Source organism: Homo sapiens, chromosome 12 (genome assembly GCF_000001405.40).
Source record: "Homo sapiens chromosome 12, GRCh38.p14 Primary Assembly".
Lineage (NCBI taxonomy): Eukaryota > Metazoa > Chordata > Mammalia > Primates > Hominidae > Homo > Homo sapiens.
The window spans coordinates 4,342,023-4,360,836 of NC_000012.12; the positions used below are offsets into that span (position 1 = coordinate 4,342,023).

Genomic DNA, 18,814 nt, shown 5'->3' on the forward strand with positions numbered 1-18,814 from the left:
ATGCAGAGAAGTCCTTAAAGGACCTGATGGAGCTGAAAACCATGGCATGAGAACTACGTGATGAATGCACAAGCTTCAGTAGCCAATTCGATCAACTGGAAGAAAGGGTATCAGTGATTGAAGATCAAATGAATGAAATGAAGTGAGAAGAGAGGTTTAGAGAAAAAAGAATAAAAAGAAATGAACAAAGCCTCCAAGAAATATGGGACTATGTGAAAAGACCAAATCTATGTCTGATTGGTGTACCTGAAAGTGACAGGGAGAATGGAACCAAGTTGGAAAACACTCTGCAGCATATTATCCAGGAGAACTTCCCCAACCTAGCAAGGCAGGCCAACATTCAAATTCAGGAAATACAGAGAATGCCACAAAGATACTCCTCAAGAAGAGCAACTCCAAGATGCATAATTGTCAGATTCACCAAAGTTGAAATGAAGGAAAAAATGTTAAGGGCAGCCAGAGAGAAAGGTCAGGTTACCCACAAAGGGAACCCCATCAGACTAACAGCAGATCTCTTGGTAAAAACTCTACAAGCCAGAAGAGAGTGGGGGCCAATATTCAACATTCTCAAAGAAAAGAATTTTCAACCCAGAATTTCATATCCAGCCAAACTAAGCTTCATAAGTGAAGGAGAAATAAAATCCTTTACAGACAAGCAAATGCTGAGAGATTTCGGCACCACCAGGCCTGCCCTAAAAGAGCTCCTGAAGGAAGCACTAAACATGGAAAGGAACAACCAGTACCAGCCACTGCAAAAACATGTCAGATTGTAAAGACCATCAATGCTAGGAAGAAACTGCATCAACTAATGAGCAAAATAAGCAGCTAACATCATAATGACAGGATCAAATTCACACATAACAATATTAACCTTAAATGTAAATGGGCTAAATGTTCCAATTAAAAGACACAGACTGGCAACTTGGATAAAGAGTCAAGACCCATCAGTGTGCTGTATTCAGGAAATCCGTCTCACATGCAGAGACACACCTAGGCTCAAAATAAAGGGATGGAGGAAGATCTACCAAGCAAATGGAAAACAAAAAAAGGCAGGGGTTGCAGTTCTAGTCTCTGATAAAATGGACTTTAAACCAGCAAAGATCAGAAGAGACAAAGGCCATTACATAATGGTAAAGGGATCAATTCAACAAGAAGTGCTAACTATCTTAAATATATATGCACCCAATATAGGAGCACCCAGATTCATAAAGCAAGTCCTTAGTGACCTACAAAGAGACTTCAACTCCCACACAATAATAATGGGAGAATTTAACACCCCACTGTCAGCATTAGACAGATCAACAAGACAGAAAGTTAAAAGGATATCCAGGAATTGAACTCAACTCTGCACCAAGCACACCTAATAGACATCTACAGAACTCTCCACCCCAAATCAACAGAATATACATTCTTCTCAGCACCACACTGCACTTATTCCAAAATTGACCACATAGTTGGAAGTAAAGCATTCCTCAGCAAATGCAAAAGAACAGAAATTATAACAAACTATCTCTCAGACCATAGTGCAATCAAACTAGAACTCAGAATTAAGAAACTCAAAGCCACTCAACTACATGGAAACTGAACAACCTGCTCCTGAATGACTACTGGGTACATAACGAAATGAAGGCAGAAATAAAGATGTTCTTTGAAACCAATGAGAACAAAGAGACAACATACCAGAATCTCTGGGACACATTTAAAGCAGTGTGTAGAGGGAAATTTATAGCACTAAATGCTCACAGGAGAAAGCAGGAAAGATCTAAAGTTGGCACCCTAACATCACAATTGAAAGAACTAGAGAAGCAAGAGCAAACAAATTCAAAAGCTAGCAGAAGGCAAGAAATAACTAAGATCAGAGCAGAACTGGAGGAGACAGAGACACAAAAAACCCTTCCAAAAATCAATGAATCCAGGAGCTGGTTTTTTGAAAAGATCAACAAAATTGATAGACCGCTAGCAAGACCAATAAAGAAAAGAGAGAAGAATCAAATGGAAGCAATAAAAAATGATAAAGGGGATATCACCACAGATCCCACAGAAATACGAACTACCATCAGAGAATACTATAAACACCTCTACACAAATAAACTAGAAAGTCTAGAAGAAATGGATAAATTCCTCGACACCTACACCCTCCCAAGACTAAAACAGGAAGAAGTTGAATCTCTGATTAGACCAGTAACAGGCTCTGAAATTGAGGCAATAATTAATAGCTTACCAACCAAAAAAAGTCCAGGACCAGACGGATTCACAGCCGAATTCTTCCAGAGGTACAAGGAGGAGCTGGTACCATTCCTTCTGAAACTATCCCAATCAATAGAAAAAGAGGGAATCCTCCCTAACTCATTTTATGAGGCCAGCATCATCCTGATACCAAAGCCTGGCAGAGACACAACAAAAAAAGAATTTTAGACCAATATCCCTGATGAACATTGATGCAAAAATCCTCAATAAAATACTGGCAAACCGAATCCAGCAGCGCAACAAAAAGCTTATCCACCATGATCAAGTGGGCTTCATCCCTGGGGTGCAAGGCTGGTTCAACATATGCAGATCAATAAACGTAATCCAGCATATAAACAGAACCAAAGACAAAAACCACATGATTATCTCAATAGATGCAGAAAAGGCCTTTGACAAAATTCAACAGCCCTTCATGCTAAAAACTCTCAATAAATTAGATATTGATGGGAGCTCTCTCACCACTCCTATTCAACATAGTGTTGGAAGTTCTGGCCAGGGCAATCAGGCAGGAGAAAGAAATAAAGGGTATTCAATTAGGAAAAGAGGAAGCCAAATTGTCCCTGTTTGCAGATGACATGATTGTATATCTAGAAAACCCCATTGTCTCAGCCCCAAATCTCCTTAAGCTGATAAGCAACTTCAGCAAAGTCTCAGGATACAAAATCAATGTGCAAAAATCACAAGCCTTATTATACACCAATAACAAACAGCCAAATCATGAGTGAACTCCCATTCACAATTGCTTCAAAGAGGATAAAATACCTAGGAATCCAACTTACAAGGGATATGAAGGACCTCTTCAAGGAGCACTATAAACCACTGCTCAATGAAATAAAAGAGGACACAAACAAATGGAAGAACATTCCATGCTCATGGATAGGAAGAATCAATATCATGAAAATGGCCATACTGCCCAAGGTAATTTATAGATTCAATGCCATCCCCTTCGAGCTACCAATGACTTTCTTCACAGACTTGGAAAAAACTACTTTAAAGTTCATATGGAACCAAAAAAGAGCCCACATTGCCAAGTCAATCCTAAGCCAAAAGAACAAAGCTGGAGGCATCACGCTACCTGACTTCAAACTATGCTACAAGGCTACAGTAACCAAAACAGCATGGTACTGGTACCAAAACAGAGATATAGACCAATGGAACAGAACAGAGCCCTCAGAAATAATACCACACATCTACAACTATCTGAACTTTGACAAACCTGACAAAAACAAGAAATGGGGAAAGGATTCCCTATTCAACAAATGGTGCTGGGAAAACTGGCTAGCCATATGTAGAAAGCTGAAACTGGATCCCTTCCTTACACCTTATACAAAAATTAATTCAAGATGGAGTAAAGACTTACATGTTAGACCTAAAACCATAAAAACCCTAGAAGAAAACCTAGGCAATACCATTCAGGACATAGGCATGGGCAAGGACTTCATGACTAAAACACCAAAAGCAATGGCAACAAAAGCCAAAGTTGACGAATGGGATCTAATTAAACTAAAGAGCTTCTGCACAGCAAAAGAAACTACCATCAGAGTGAACAGGCAACCTACAGAATGGGAGAAAATTTTTCCAATCTACTCATCTGACAAAGGGCTTATATCCAGAATCTACAAAGAACTCAAACAAATTTGCAAGAAAAAAACAACCCCATCAACAAGTGGGCAAAGGATATGAACAGACACTTCTCAAAAGAAGAAGTTTATGTAGCCAACAGACAGATGAAAAAATGCTCATCATCACTGGCCATCAGAGAAATGCAAATCAAAACCACAATGAGATACCGTCTCACACCAGTTAGAATGGCAATCATTAAAAAGTCAGGAAACAACAGGTGCTGGAGAGGATGTGGAGAAATAGGAACACTTTTACACTGTTGGTGGGACTGTAAACAAGTTCAACCATTGTGGAAGACAGTGTGGCAATTCCTCAGGGATCTAGAACTAGAAATACCATTTGACCCAGCCATCCCATTTCTGGGTATATACCCAAAGGATTATAAATCATGTGCTATAAAGACACATACACATGTATGTTTATTGCGGCACTATTCACAATAGCAAAGACTTGGAACCAACCCAAATGTCCAATAATGATAGACTGGATTAAGAAAATGTGGCACATATACACCATGGAATACTATGCAGCCATAAAAAAGGATGAGTTCATGTCCTCTGTAGGGACATAGATGAAGCTGGAAACCATCATTCTCAGCAAACCATGGCAAGGACAAAAAACCAAACACCGCGTTTTCTCACTCGTAGGTGGGAATTGAACAATGAGAACACTTGGACACAGGAAGGGGAACATCACACACCAGGGCCTGTTGTGGGATGGGGGGACGGGGGAGGGATAGCATTAGTAGATATACCTAATGTAAATGGCGAGTTAATGGATGCAGCACACCAACATGGCACATGTATACATATGTAACAAACCTGCACGTCGTGCACATGTACCCTAGAACTTAAAGTATAATAAAAAATATATATTAAAAAAAAATGACAAAGAGACATATGAAAAAGTGCTCAACATCATTGGTAATCAGAGAAATGCATATCCAAACTACAATGAGTATTTTACCCCAGTTAAAATGGCTTTTATCCAAAAGACAGGCAATAACACATGCAGGCAAGGCCATGGAGGAAAGGGAACACTTGTATGCTGTTGGTGGGAATGTGAATTAGTACAACCACTGTGAAGAATTGTTTGGAGGGAGGTTCCTCAAAAAACTAAAAATAGAGCTACCATGTGATCCAGAAGTTCCACTGCTAGGTATGTACCCAAAGAAAGGAAATCAGGATATTGAAGAGATATCTGCACTCCCATATTGCAGCACTTTTTACAGTAGCCAAGATTTGGAAATAATCCAAATGTCCATCAGCAGATGAATGGATAAAGGAAATGTACACACACAAACAATGAAGTACTTTTCAACCACAGAGAAGAATGAGATCCTGTCATTTGCAACAACATGGATGGAACTGGAGGTCATTATGTTAAGTGAAGTAAGCCAGGCACAGAAAGACAAACTTGTCATGTTCTCACTTATTTGTTGGAGCAAAAAATTAAAACAATTGAACTCATGGAGATAGAGAGTAGAAGGATGGTTACCAGAGTCTGGGAAAGGTAGTAGGGGGAGGTGTTGGGGAAGTGGGGATGGTTAATGGGTACAAAAAGAAAGAATGAATAAGACCTAGTATTTGATAGCGCAACAGGGTGGCTATAGTCAATAACAATGTAATTGTACATTTGAAAATAACTAAAAGGATATAATTGGATCATTCGTAACAAAAAGGATAAATGCTTATGGGGATGGATACCCTGCTTACCAGGATGTGATTGTCATGCATTGCATGGCTGTATCAAAGTGTCTCATGTGCCCCATAAATATATACATTTACTGTATACCCACAAAAATTAAAAATTAAAATACAAACAGAAAAAAGCCAAAAAATGAAAACCTCAGTGGAAGTACTGAAGTATAGATCACACACGGCTGAAGTGATCATTATAGATAAATATATGATAATAACCTAAATGTAGCACGGCATGATAGATTTAAAATATGAGAGTTTAGCTGGGCACAGTGGCTGATGCCTGAAATTGCAGCACTTTGGGAGGCCGAAGCGGGAAGATCACTTGAGCTCAGGAGTTTGAGACCAGCCTGGGCAACATAGGGAGACCTTGTCTCTACAGAAAATAAAAAAGTTAGCTGAGTGTGGTGGCACTTGCCTGTAGTCCCAGCTACTTGGGAGGCTGGGGTGGGAGGATCACTTGAGCTCAGGTAGTTGAGGCTGCAGTGAATCGTGATTGTGTCACTTCACTCCAGCCTGGGTGACAGAGCGAGACCCTGTCTCAAAAAAAAAAGTCCCTTTAAAAAATAAATAAAATAGGAGACATTAGAAGACATGAAGAGCATGATGAGAAGTTCTAATGTCTTTCAGAAAGAGATAGCAGAGAGAATGGGAGGAAGAGGTGATATTCAGAGGTTACAGAATATTGACAATTTTACAGAATTTACAGAATTGTTGAAAGATCCAAGAAGTGTACCAAATCCCAACCAGGATAAGTAAAGAAACCCATATCTACATTCATTATAGCAAAATTGCAAGACTCCAAAGAATGAGGAAAAAACCATCCTTTATTAAAGACCATTAGTTAGGCTGTCAGCAAATTTGTTCATATTGATGATTTCTTTATTGTGCTGAGAAATAACAAGGATTAACCTAGAGTTTTATACCCAGCAAGATTTTTTTCTGCTGTGTAGGTGAAATGACATTTCAGACAAAGAGATTCTGAAGTAACTTTGAAAGGAAAAATGAAAAAGAAGGAAAATAATTGCAGAAGGGAGATCTGAGTTTCAGAAAAGAATAGTGAGCAAAGAAGTTGGTAAAGGTTTAGGAAAATACAAGGAAATATTGACAGTACATATAAAACAGTATGATGATGATGTCTAATTTGTTGGGAAATGTGTTTTTAAAAAAGGCAGATCATGGACCTAAATTATTTCTATGTGACAGGGTCGCTTGTCAATCAAAAATTGCTAGACTTACAATGAGAGAAGGAAATGTGAATAAAAATGAGCTAAAGACAACAGAAACAGCCACATGACTTACCCGATGGAGTTACCAGACATGAGCTTTAAAATAACTATATTTTTGTATAGGTGAAAGATGTAGAATTTCAGTACAGAACTGTAATAAACTGTAAAAAAGAGCCAAATGCAAATTCTAGAACTAAAAATACAATTGGAATTAAGGCTCAATGGATGGGTTTAACAACAATTTAGACACATTTGAATGGCGAATTAAGGAATTAGAATGGGGATTAGTAAACATTTTCTGTAAAGAGCCAGATAGTAATTTTTTTTTAGGGTTTATAGTCTATACAGTCTCTGTTAACACCTGTTCAAGTCTGCGGTAATAGCAAGAAAGCAGCCATCAACTGTGCATGAATGAATGCTGTGGCTGTGTCCCAGTAAAATACTTTATTTGCAAAAGCAGATGATGGTCTGGATTGTGCTGACTTCTGAACTAAAAGATAGGTTAGAAGAGAATATCAAAATCAGGAATGAAGAGACACAGATGTGTACACAGATGTACACAGAGAGGCAACTTTTGCAAAGGAAAATCATTTCTAGTTTTGTTTTTTTTTTTTGAGATGGAGTCTCATTCTGTCACCCAGGCTGGAGTGCAGTGGCGCAATCTCAGCTCACTGCAACCTCCGCCTCCCAGGTTCAAGCAATTCTTCTGCCTCAGCCTCCCGAGTAGCTGGAACTACAGGTGCGTGCCACCACATCCGGCTAATTTTTTGTATTTTTAGTAGAGATAGGGTTTCACCATGTTGGCCAGGATGGTCTCGATCTCCTGACCTCATGATCCACCCGCCTCAGCCTCCCAAAGTGCTGGGATTACAGGTGTGAGCCACCGTGCCTGGTTCTAGTTCTTTTTTATTCACTAAGATGACATAGATTCTTTCAGTGCTTCCACCAGAATGGTGATTATTTTTATAAAGAAAGAAACAATTGTCTTGATTTTCAGACCATGCATGGAATTTTGGAGAGAAGCAAATTTTGCAAAGATATGACGGTAAAGTATGACTCAAGACTTCGGGAAAGGGTGAGTAACTTATTTACATATTGTTCTTCCCCATAAATTATCAGTAAGCCACCTCAGTTTGTCACTTGGCTAAAAGTTAAATGCATTTCTGCTAGGGATTTCGAATCAGTGAAAATATTTAAGAATCTACCATATGACAGTCACTGTTACATACCCTCGTATATAGGATCTTATTATTAAAATCAAACGAGACAAGCATCTTAAGGTATAAAAGAAGGTACGCTCATAAGAACTTAACACAGTATAGAAGAGTTTAAAGTAAAGGTGAAAAATATGGATATTGCATAATTTATGTAACCTAGCTACGCTGATGGAAAGCTAGATTTTCACTAGACTACCACTGATGTAAATAATGTCAAAATAAACATCTTTGTAGTTAATTTATTGTAGACCTATATATTTCTAGAAATGGACATCGGCGAGTGTGTACTTTTTTAAAGGCATTTATATACATATTGCCAAGTTGCCTTCCAGAAAACCTGTGCCAATTTATAGTCCCATGAATGACCTAGGAGAAAGTTTTGTTTTTTTACACCAACAATTGGTATTATTAGACTCTGTGATTTTCCAATTTAATAGCTTAACAATGTTGCCATGTGGCTGGCGTGGTGGCTTACGCTTGTAATCCCAGCACTTTGGGAGGCCAAGGTGGGCAGATCACTTGAGTTCAGGAGATTGAGACCATTCTGGCTAACATGGTAAAACACCATCTCTACTAAAAATACAAAAAATTAGCCGGGTGTGGTGGCACGCGCCTGTAGTCCCAGCTACTCGGGAGGCTGAGGCAAGAGAATCGTTTGAACCCAGGAGGCGGAGGTTGCAGTGAGCTGAGATCGCGCCACGGCACCCCAGCCTGGGTGACAGAGCGAGATTCCGTCTCAAAAAAAAAAAAAAGAAAAAAAAAGAAATAGATCTCTCATGTTAGCGTCTCTGAAACTCAACTTCCTTATAACTATGGTGATATATTTATTTAGCTATTTCATGGTGCTGTCATTGGGATCAAATGGTGTAGTATGTGTGGATGGGAGATGGCTGAATTGGTACCTTGTGCATGTTAATCTCTAGTCCTATAATCTGTGCAAATCTCTGTATTTGTTCAATAAATTCCCACCATCTGCTTGCAATAGCAAGTTCTTCTAAAATAACCCATTTGGACATAGTGTACAACTTAAGATTTCAATTATATTTTCTAAGGTTCATGGCCCTCTACTGAGTACATTCTCATTATCAGTTCAGAGGAGATAGAATCAATTAAGTGGAGGAGAGTTAGCTTATTCCTGGGATGAATGTTCTAAATTTGCCATAAACATAAACTTAATTGTTATATTGCAATTTCATTTGAGAAACTGTTATCTATTGGACTGTTTCAGAAATACGGGGTTGTAGAAGGCAAAGCGCTAAGTGAGCTGAGGGCCATGGCCAAAGCAGCCAGGGAAGAGTGCCCTGTGTTTACACCGCCCGGAGGAGAGACGCTGGACCAGGTATGTGGCGCTGCCGATGTCAGAATGGTTGAATTAAGACTCAAAATTAGATGTTTTGGAATTTTAGCTAAGCAGTTTGAAAGTTGCTTGGTTCATTCTCTTTTCCATTTTAAATTATCTATTTACTTAGCAAATTATTCTTTTCTATTTAAAATCTTATTTACTGTTCAGTTGCCTTTGTCATTATTGATAATGGACTTAAGGAAAGGTGTTATTAGATGGTACTTCTAAAAAAGACCTTTGAATATGAAGCAGTGGCTTAGTGGTGGGAGTGGAGTTCAAAGAGGGTGATCGGCAAGTCACTCGAGGTGAAATAACTCAAAACATGAAGTCTTCAAGCCTCTGCTGCCTCCTCAGCTCTGTTCATGGTGGCATCCCTGTGCTTGCATTTCTTTGGAGTGTTCTGCTTCGAATTGCATATTGGTGATTCCCCCTAACCCACCACCACCTCCTTAATCTTTATCTTAATTTTCTTGAAAATACTTTCCATTACTTTAGTAAGGGAAGGATTTGTTGCTGCTGTTGTTCCAGTGGCACTGAAGTGCCAGAGACAGCTTCCTGGTTAGCACTGTTTTATGAGTTTCTGTTGGCTTGTAGATTTCCCTAACTAGACCGTGAGTGCTTTGAACTCAGGAATTGGGAATTGGATCTTCTTCATCTTGGTCTCCATGGTGCTTTTGTAATTCCAGAAATGTGGTGGATACTTATATATGTCCATGAAACTACTGATTGAACGAATAGAAATGTAGATTGATATTCTTCTGCTTGTGTAGTACTTGGCATTCAATATTAGAAAAAAATCCAGTCAGTTATGTTCTATGTTAACGTTTTAAGGAAGTCATTAATGTCACTTTATTTTGACTTTTATTTCTTTTCTTGTAGGTGAAAATGCGTGGAATAGACTTTTTTGAATTTCTTTGTCAACTAATCCTGAAAGAAGCGGATCAAAAAGAACAGTTTTCCCAAGGATCTCCAAGCAACTGTCTGGAAACTTCTTTGGCAGAGATATTTCCTTTAGGAAAAAATCACAGCTCTAAAGTTAATTCAGACAGCGGTATTCCAGGATTAGCAGCCAGTGTCTTAGTTGTGAGTCACGGTGCTTACATGAGAAGTCTGTTTGATTATTTTCTGACTGACCTTAAGTGTTCCTTACCAGCCACTCTGAGCAGATCTGAACTTATGTCAGTCACTCCCAATACAGGGATGAGTCTCTTTATCATAAACTTTGAGGAAGGAAGAGAAGTTAAACCAACGGTTCAGTGTATTTGTATGAACCTACAGGATCATCTAAATGGACTGACTGAAACTCGCTAAGGTTAAATCTGCATCAAAATCTAACCATTTTGAGCCTCTGAAGGGAGTGCCATTGGCTTTATTTACTTCTCTCCTCTGCTAGTTCTGATTTGGAAACAGTTAAAAGCCAATTTTTAGCTCCAGTGGAACCATAGCCACATAAAACTTTAATGGACAACCATATAGAATTAACTTATTTTGTCCAAGTACAGTTGGCATTTTCCAGAATAATTTTACCACCCTGCTAGATGTCATCTCTGGATTGCACATGGATGATGAAGGAACTCAGCATTGAAAGTTGGGGGATTAGTAACCTTGTTACAACGGTTTCTTTTTCATTTTAGCCTATTTTAATGGCTATTGGTAAGATACTGTATGTTTTTAGTATCTCATCCAGTGCTTAGAAGAAAGAATGGTTTATAATTCCCAGTACATGTTTATATTGACTGTGTTATATTTTTAAATCCTTTAAATAAAAAATCCTTATAAGTTTATGTAAAGCAAAATAACACTAACATGTTTTACGTATAAATCAACTATTGGAATTTTTTATTCTAGAGGGCTTGAAATGTGGATGAATACAGATTATGATTGCAGAATGGTCTGGGGGAAGAAGTTAAAACATTTGATTTAAATACAGTAAAGAAAGAATCTTGGAGCAGAAGATAGAAGAACAGCCTTTTCTAAATAATGCCTTGCCAAAGTCAAGTCAATGGAAACCAGGAAAGCCAAAAAAATGAAGAATATCCACTTGCTTCTTATCTAACCTGTAGGCTGAAGAATTTCCAGTTTGAGGAAGGCTCTAAAGAAAGTAAACAGTTAACAGAACACCACACAGTAATCAGAATAAAAGAGGGGCCTTCTTTGTAAAGAATGGTGCTCTGGGCCGGGCCCAGTGGCTCACACCTGTAATCCCAGCACTTTGGGAGGCTGAGGCGGGCGGATCACAAGGTCAGGAATTCTAGACCAGCCTGGCCAACAATGGTGAAACCCTGTCTCTACTACAAATACAAAAAAGCCAGGCGTGGTAGCAGGCGCCTGTAATCCCAGCTACTTGGGAGGTTGAGGCAGGAGAATCGCTTGAACCCGGGAGGTGGAGGTTGCAGTGAGCCGAGATCGCACCACTTCACTCCAGCCTAGGTGACAGAGGGGATGACAGAGGGTGCTCTGCGGGCAGGGAAGGCGGGGTGGTTGGGGGGGAGAGAATGTTGCTCTGATAACCACAGCTGTGGTTATTTTGTGGCAGGTACAGGTGAGGTTGCCTCTTCTTTCCACCAGATGGCACTGGAGAAAAGGGATTTTGATTAACTTAATTTTATACACAAGATTGGTCTTTCAGAAATCTTTATCTAAATGAAGAAACTGTTCTACATGTAGTTCGCTTTTAAGTCACCATGTTGCTAAATGCTGTGAGTCTCAACTTTAAAGAGGGTTAATACTAAAGTTGTCAGTTAAGGCTATAGTCACATATAGTCAAAATTTACTTTGACATCATTTTAAATCATATGTAAAATTCAGTATTATATTGTTCTTAGTGTGTCTAGCACTACCAGTTTTCTACCAGTATTGAAACAGGGCACGTGTTTGAGCATCAGAGGAAGTATACTGTAAATAAAAATTTGAAAAATAAGCAAAAAGGACAGACAATAATTATCTCCATTCCCACCATACTGAAGTCATCTTTCCACTTTTTTTTTTAAAGAAACAAAACATAAAGATAAAAGTAGAGTTCTCTTTAACCAGCTCTCACAGTCCTGTTCCCTCCAGAGGCAGCCACTGCAGTGAGTCTGTGTATATGTTCACCTGTTCATCTGCTTGCAATGTTCATCTGTTCCTTATATTTTCACCTAGTGTCTGGAAGGAGATGGTACTGTTTTGGTGCTTTAAAAATAAATATCAAGCCATCTGTGTTCTTTATTTTTACTTATGTCTTGGAGGCATCTCTGTGTTGATATATATAGATCTAGTTAATTATAACCACTCTATTCTATTAAATATAGCACATTTTTGTTTATTAGTGGGCATTTAGGTATATTCAGTTTTTATTTTCTTTGCTTTTTTTCTTTTTTTTTTTTTTTGGAGACAGAGTCTCTCTCTGTTGCCCAGGCTGGGGTGCAATGGCGTGATCTTGGCTCACTGCAACCTCCACCTCTCGGGTTCAAGCAATTCTTGTGCCTCAGCCTCCTGAGTAGCTGGGACTACAGGCATGCACCACCACGCCTGGCCTTTTTTTTTTTTTTAGTAGAGACGGGGTTTCGCCATGTTGGCCAGGCTGGTCTTGAACTTCTGACCTCAGGTGATCCACCTGCCTTGGCCTTCCAAAGTGCTGGGATTGCAGGCATAAGCCACCGTGCCTGGCCTATGATGCATTTTTTTAATATGTGTTCTTAATTTTTAAGACAAACCAATATACCTTATCCTTTATGGGGTTTTTTTGGTGTGTATCTTTAAGAAGACTTCTCTACCATGAGGTCATACAGTAATGTCTTCTTACAGTTTTTGAGAACTTCTGAATGTCAAATCTTGAAATTGAAATTTGCTTTTTATAGTATAAGGTAAGAATTTAATTTTTTTTTTCATGTGGTTGAAACAGTTATCCCAACACCATTGTAAAGGCTGTTCTTTCCCAATTGGTTTGTGGTGTGTGCTCTCAGGCCTCACACCCCCTCATTTGCTAGAGTCTGTGGACTCTTTTAGTTATCTGTGTATTTCCTTATCAGTGTCATACTTAGTTACTGTGGCTTTGCAGCTGACTGTCTTAAAGGGTGGATACCTCCTCTTGTTCATTTTTAAAGTTGTCTTAACTATTTATGCACTTTTATTCTTCCATATAAATTTTGGAATCAATTGGTCAATTTCCAGAAAAATTCTGTTACAAATTTTATTGGAGTCACATGCATCTCTTCATCTATTCAATACGTATTTTTTGAGCATGGCACACACATGCCAGGCTATTTTAAGAACTACTACAACTATGATAAAGCTGTGAATATGTAGCCATGAACCAAAACAAAGTCTCTGTCCTTGTGGAACATTTGTTCTGTCAGAGAAGACAGTGTGTTGGCTCACATTGTGGTCAGTGCTGTTGAGCAAAATAGGTCAGAGTAAGGGGGATGGAGACTGGTGGGAGGAATGCTGCTTTATCCAGGATGGGCAGGGAGGACTCGATGGTGTCAGCACTGAAGGATGTAAGATCTGCTGCTCTGGGGAGAGGAGCAGCATGGAAGGAGTAGAGTGCAGAGGCCATGAGGAAGGATCAGGCTTGACTCCTTTGAGCAAGGGGGATGGGAGAGTGACGGGAGAAGAGGACAGGCCACATGGCCTGGTGGCCTGTGCTGAGGCCTTGGGCTTTTACTCAAGTGAGATGAGATGCCATTGGCCAGTTTGGGCAGTGATGTGATCAGACTTGTTTCAGCAGGACCATCCTGCTTGCAATGTGGAGAGCAGGCTGTAGGGGGTGCTATAGGAGCACAAGGTTGGAGGCAGGGAAGATGGCAGCACTGGCTGTTGGGCCATTTGAAGAAGCAAGGCCAGGGATGTTGGCAGGGACCAGGCCAGAGTGCCTCCAATGGCTAACTAAGGAGCCTGGACATTGAATTTCTAGGTTAGCTTAGGATTTCTCATCCTCCCATCTGTGAATGTCATAGATCTCTCATTTTGCCTGAGTCTTTTATGCAATGATATTTTATTTGTAATATTTTCCCGGTTTTTGATTGTTTTTTAACAAATGAATTTTTTAAGAGACTTAATTTTTTAAGAGAAACTTTAATTTCCCAGCAAAAGTGAGAGGAAGGTAGAGAGATTTCCCATCTATCCCCTGCCCCTACACACGCATTGCTTCTCCTACTATCAACATCCCCCACCAGACCAGTGCATCTGTTACCATCGGTGAGCCCACATTACACTGACATATCCACATCACCTGAAACCCATAGTTTACATTAGGGTTCATTCTTGGTGTTGCATGATCTGTGGGTTTGGACAAACGTATGAAGACATGTATTCCACCATTATAGTATCATGCAGAGTATTTTCACTGCCCTAAAAGTCCTCTGTGTTCCCTGTACTCATCTTTCCCACCTTGTCTTGCCTGTTTCTGTTAGGTTTAGTCCGAGGCCTAGCAGAGGGAATGGGCAGAAGTTTCCAGTTCCAGGCTTCACCCCAGGCTCGCAGCTTCAAGCAGAGCCTGTCGCTTAGGCTCCCTTGCACCTGGAGTCGAAACCATGGCTCCCATTCACCTGTCTCTTATTTTCCTGTCCTTCCCACTCCTCACTCACCTACTATTCATTTCCATTTTTGGATGAGGATTCTCCTTTATTGCTTTTTAACTAAAAACCTGTTTTAGTTAGCATCTTTATTCTAATTTCTTTAAATGCTATGTCATACTCAGCAAGGACATGCTCATATTAGGGGAAGCACATAAAGTAAGATATCCCTGAGAGAACAGTGCATCTCACACCCATTCCATGGCTTAGGCTTATGCAGGAAGTGCAATATTTGGCCATATCACTTAAGTACATATGCTTATATTATGTATACTTGCATGCATATTACATTTACAAGTAGATGAATTCGTGTAAGTTAAATGGTTCTATTATATGTCTTCACTATATTAAGGTCAGTCACAATTTAATTGAAATAGATCATCCTAGGTGAATCCACCTGGCATAATTATCAGCCCTGTTAAGCACAGACACAGGAGATGCAAAGGAAAGAAGTATTCAGTAGAGCGGTGGTGCTGGGCTGAGTACCTGCTATCAGACGCAGCACTTACCAGTTTGGAAATTGAATGGGGCTCCTAGAAAACATCCTTGTTTCATGTAAATGTTGCTTTTTACCCCTCTTTCTTTGGGCCCCATCAATTTGGAAGTACAGCTTTCAGATTGAAGTATGTGTCAGTTCCTTTGTGTCCAAACAAGATGGCTAAGTAGGTCGTCATGACAGGTAACTACCAGTGCTTTAAAAACTTTAGGATTTCCCCCCACAGTTCTCAATCACTTGGTTCATTGTTCAGCAATATGGCCTAAGGGGGTGATTTCTTCATTGATAAGTGACAGGGCAGGGACACTGGAAAGATCTATTGTCAGAAGGCCTGGATTCAGGTTCAAGGCCTGGTTCTTAGTAATTTTGTGACCAAGCAATCGCTGAGGTGGCTGGGCGTGGTGGCTCGCACCTGTAATCCCAGCACTTTGGGAGGCCAAGGCGGGCAGATCACGAGGTCAGGAGATAGAGACCATCCTGGCTAACACAGTGAAACCTCGTCTCCACTGAAAAATAGAAAAAATTAGCCAGGCCTGGTGGCCGGCGCCTGTAGTCCCAGCTACTTGGGAGGCTGAGGCAGTAGAATGGCGTGAACCCGGGAGGTGGAGCTTGCAGTGAGCCAAGGTCGCGCCACTGCACTGCAGCCTGGGTGACAGAGCAAGACTGGGTCTCAAAAAAAAAAAAAAAAAATCATTTGATAAATAATGGGCTGTGCATGGTGACTCAGGCCTGTAATCCCAGCACTTTGGGAGGCCAAGGTGGGTGGATTACCTGAGGTCAGGAGTTCAAGACCAGCCTGGCCAACATGGTGAAACCCTGTCTTTACTAAAAATACAAAAATTAGCTGGGCGTCTCCAAAAAAAAAAAAAAAGAAAAAGAAAAATCACTGAGCTACTGTATCCTCATAGAGAATAATTACAGTAATGTGTATGTGCGTGTGTTTTGGTAATCTTTTATCTTGGATTTATCAAACCTACAGAAAAGTTGCAAGAACAGTAGAAGGAATGGCTGTATACTCTTCACACTTATTCACCACTTGCTTACCTGTTGTCCCACTTGCTTTGCCATTTTTTCTCTCTCCCTCTGTTTTCCCCTGAAACATTGGAGAGTAACTTTGAGTCCTCATACTCTTCCCCTATAAAATTTCAATGTGTGTTTCCTGAGATCAACAATGTTCTTATATATAACCCAGAATAAATATCTGAGTCAGGAAATTTGACATTGATATTGCCTATTAGCTAATCCTTAGACCAAATTTAAATTCTGTCAATTATTTTGTTGATGTACCTGTGGCTTTTTTTTTTTTTCTGAATCAAGAATCCAATCAATCCAGGACTGTGTGTTGTGTTGCATTTAGTTGTCATGTTTCTTCATGTCCTTCCGTCTACTCCTTTGCCTTCCTTTGCCCTTCTTTTTTTCTCCCACCATCTATCTAACCAGATGAACTTTGTCTTTCTTGATCTTGTTACTTTTTAAAAAATAGGTGAGTTCTTGTGGTTTTTTTTCCTGACATATCCTCATTATTAGATTTGGATTGTATACTTTTGTCAGAAGCAGCCCAGAAAGGATGTGTCCTTGGTCATGTCAGGAGGGACAGGACGTTGTATCAATATGTCTGGTTCCTCATTAAATTTGCAACTACTCTTTTAGCCTTTATTGTTTATTTTCTGACTCTGTTTTTTTTTTCTTTAGCCAACTCACGCCATGACTCTACTTTTGCTTCTATGTTTATTAGTTGGCATTCTGTACTAAGACAGCTTTACCCTTCTTGCCTACTTATTTATGTCAGTATGAGCTCAGAAGTTCTTATTCAGGGGCTTATAATACAGTACTCTTATTATTTTATGGTTACACAGTCCCAACTTTGTCCTGTGGGAACCCTTTCAGGCTGGCTCTTATGTTCTGGTGACATAATCTCATCCTTCTTTAAGTACTTTCTTTCTGGTATTAACAATATGCTCCAGACTCATTCTTCCCGAGCCCCAGCCCCAGAATCAGCTTTTTCTCTAAAGAGCCCTGGTTCTTTGGAAATGAAATGAAAGACGCCTGGTGTGCATGGTATTTAGAAACCAAGATCTCGGTGCCAGGGTGCTCATTGCTAATAGTGCCTTTAAAAAAATTACTGCATTGAATTCCAATGCATAGATACACAACAGTTTGTTTATTCTTCCATTGACGGAACACAAGGACCATTTCTAGTTTGGAGCTATTATGAATAAAGCTGCTATAAATATTTTTACAAGTCTTTTTGCGGACGTATGTTTTCATTTCTCTTGGGTAAATAATCTGGGAGTGGAATTGCTGAGTTATAGGTTATATGTTGGTGTATGTTTAGTTTTATAAGACACTTGCCAGATCTTTTTCCATGGTGGTTGTACCATTTCATGCTTATCAACAATGAGTTCTAGGTGCTTCACATCCTTGCCAACATTTGTTATTATCAGTTTCTAAAATTTTAGCCATTCTGATTGTTGTATGGTAGTATATCCCTGCAATTTTAACTGGTGATATGGAATGCTTTTTAATGTACAATTCTTATTGATCATTCATACAGCTTTCTTTGTGAAATGTGTATTAAAATCTTATCCATTAAAAAATTGTGTCATCTTTTTATTTTTGAGTTGTAGGAGTTCTTTATATGTTTTGGGTATACAAGTTCTTTGTCAGATGTGTGTGTGTGTATGTATGTGTGTATGTGTGTGTGTGTGTGTGTATATATACACATGTATCTACATATATATAATTTTATTCCAGTCTGTATATTTATTATAAAATATGTTATTCTACCATTTATCAATTTTTTTAAGTTGTTGATTTTCATAAGACTGATTTACCATTGTGTTTGTTTTATGATTATTGCTTTTTTTTTGTCAAAGAAATTTTTGTCTATCCCCTGGTCATGGAGACTCTGTTTTCTTCTAGAAGATTTGTGATTTATAAGTTTTATATTTAGGTCTTGATCCATCTGGAATTTTTGTGTGTGGTATGAGGTAGCAGGTTCAGGCTTATGGTTATTTACCTGGATATCAAATTGTTCTAGCAGCATTTGTTGAAAAGACTTTTCTTTTCCCTTGAATTTATTTGGTTCTTTTGTCATAATTCAACTTATTGTGTAAGTGTTGGTGTATTGCTGGGCTCCTTATTTAATTCCATTTATCTTTTTGTCTATCCATATGCAAATATCACACTGTCCTGATTATTCTACATTCATAGCAAGTCTTGAAATCAGTGTATAAGTCACCTATGTACTTGTTCTTTTTCAGGGTGGTGGTTGTTGTTTTGGCTCATTGCAGGTCCTTTGTATTTCCACATAAATTTTTTAAAAATATACTTTTTAGAGCAGTTTTTAGATTTATAGAAAAATTGAGACAATATGTAGAATTCCCATACACCTGCATCCAGTGT

General features: G+C 39.2%; 1 protein-coding gene across 1 annotated transcript in view; it reads left to right on the top strand.

The window, feature by feature from the left end:
• The window catches only part of TIGAR (TP53 induced glycolysis regulatory phosphatase), a 38,816-nt gene extending 20,810 nt beyond the window's left edge, over positions 1–18,006 (top strand). Inside the window, exons 4-6 of the mRNA NM_020375.3 lie at positions 7,797–7,874; positions 9,245–9,355; positions 10,238–18,006. Coding sequence (NP_065108.1) covers positions 7,797–7,874; positions 9,245–9,355; positions 10,238–10,669 — 621 coding nt within the window. The 3' untranslated portion in view covers positions 10,670–18,006. The remainder of the gene's footprint in view (positions 1–7,796; positions 7,875–9,244; positions 9,356–10,237) is intronic.
• The last annotated feature ends 808 nt before the right edge of the window (positions 18,007–18,814 follow it).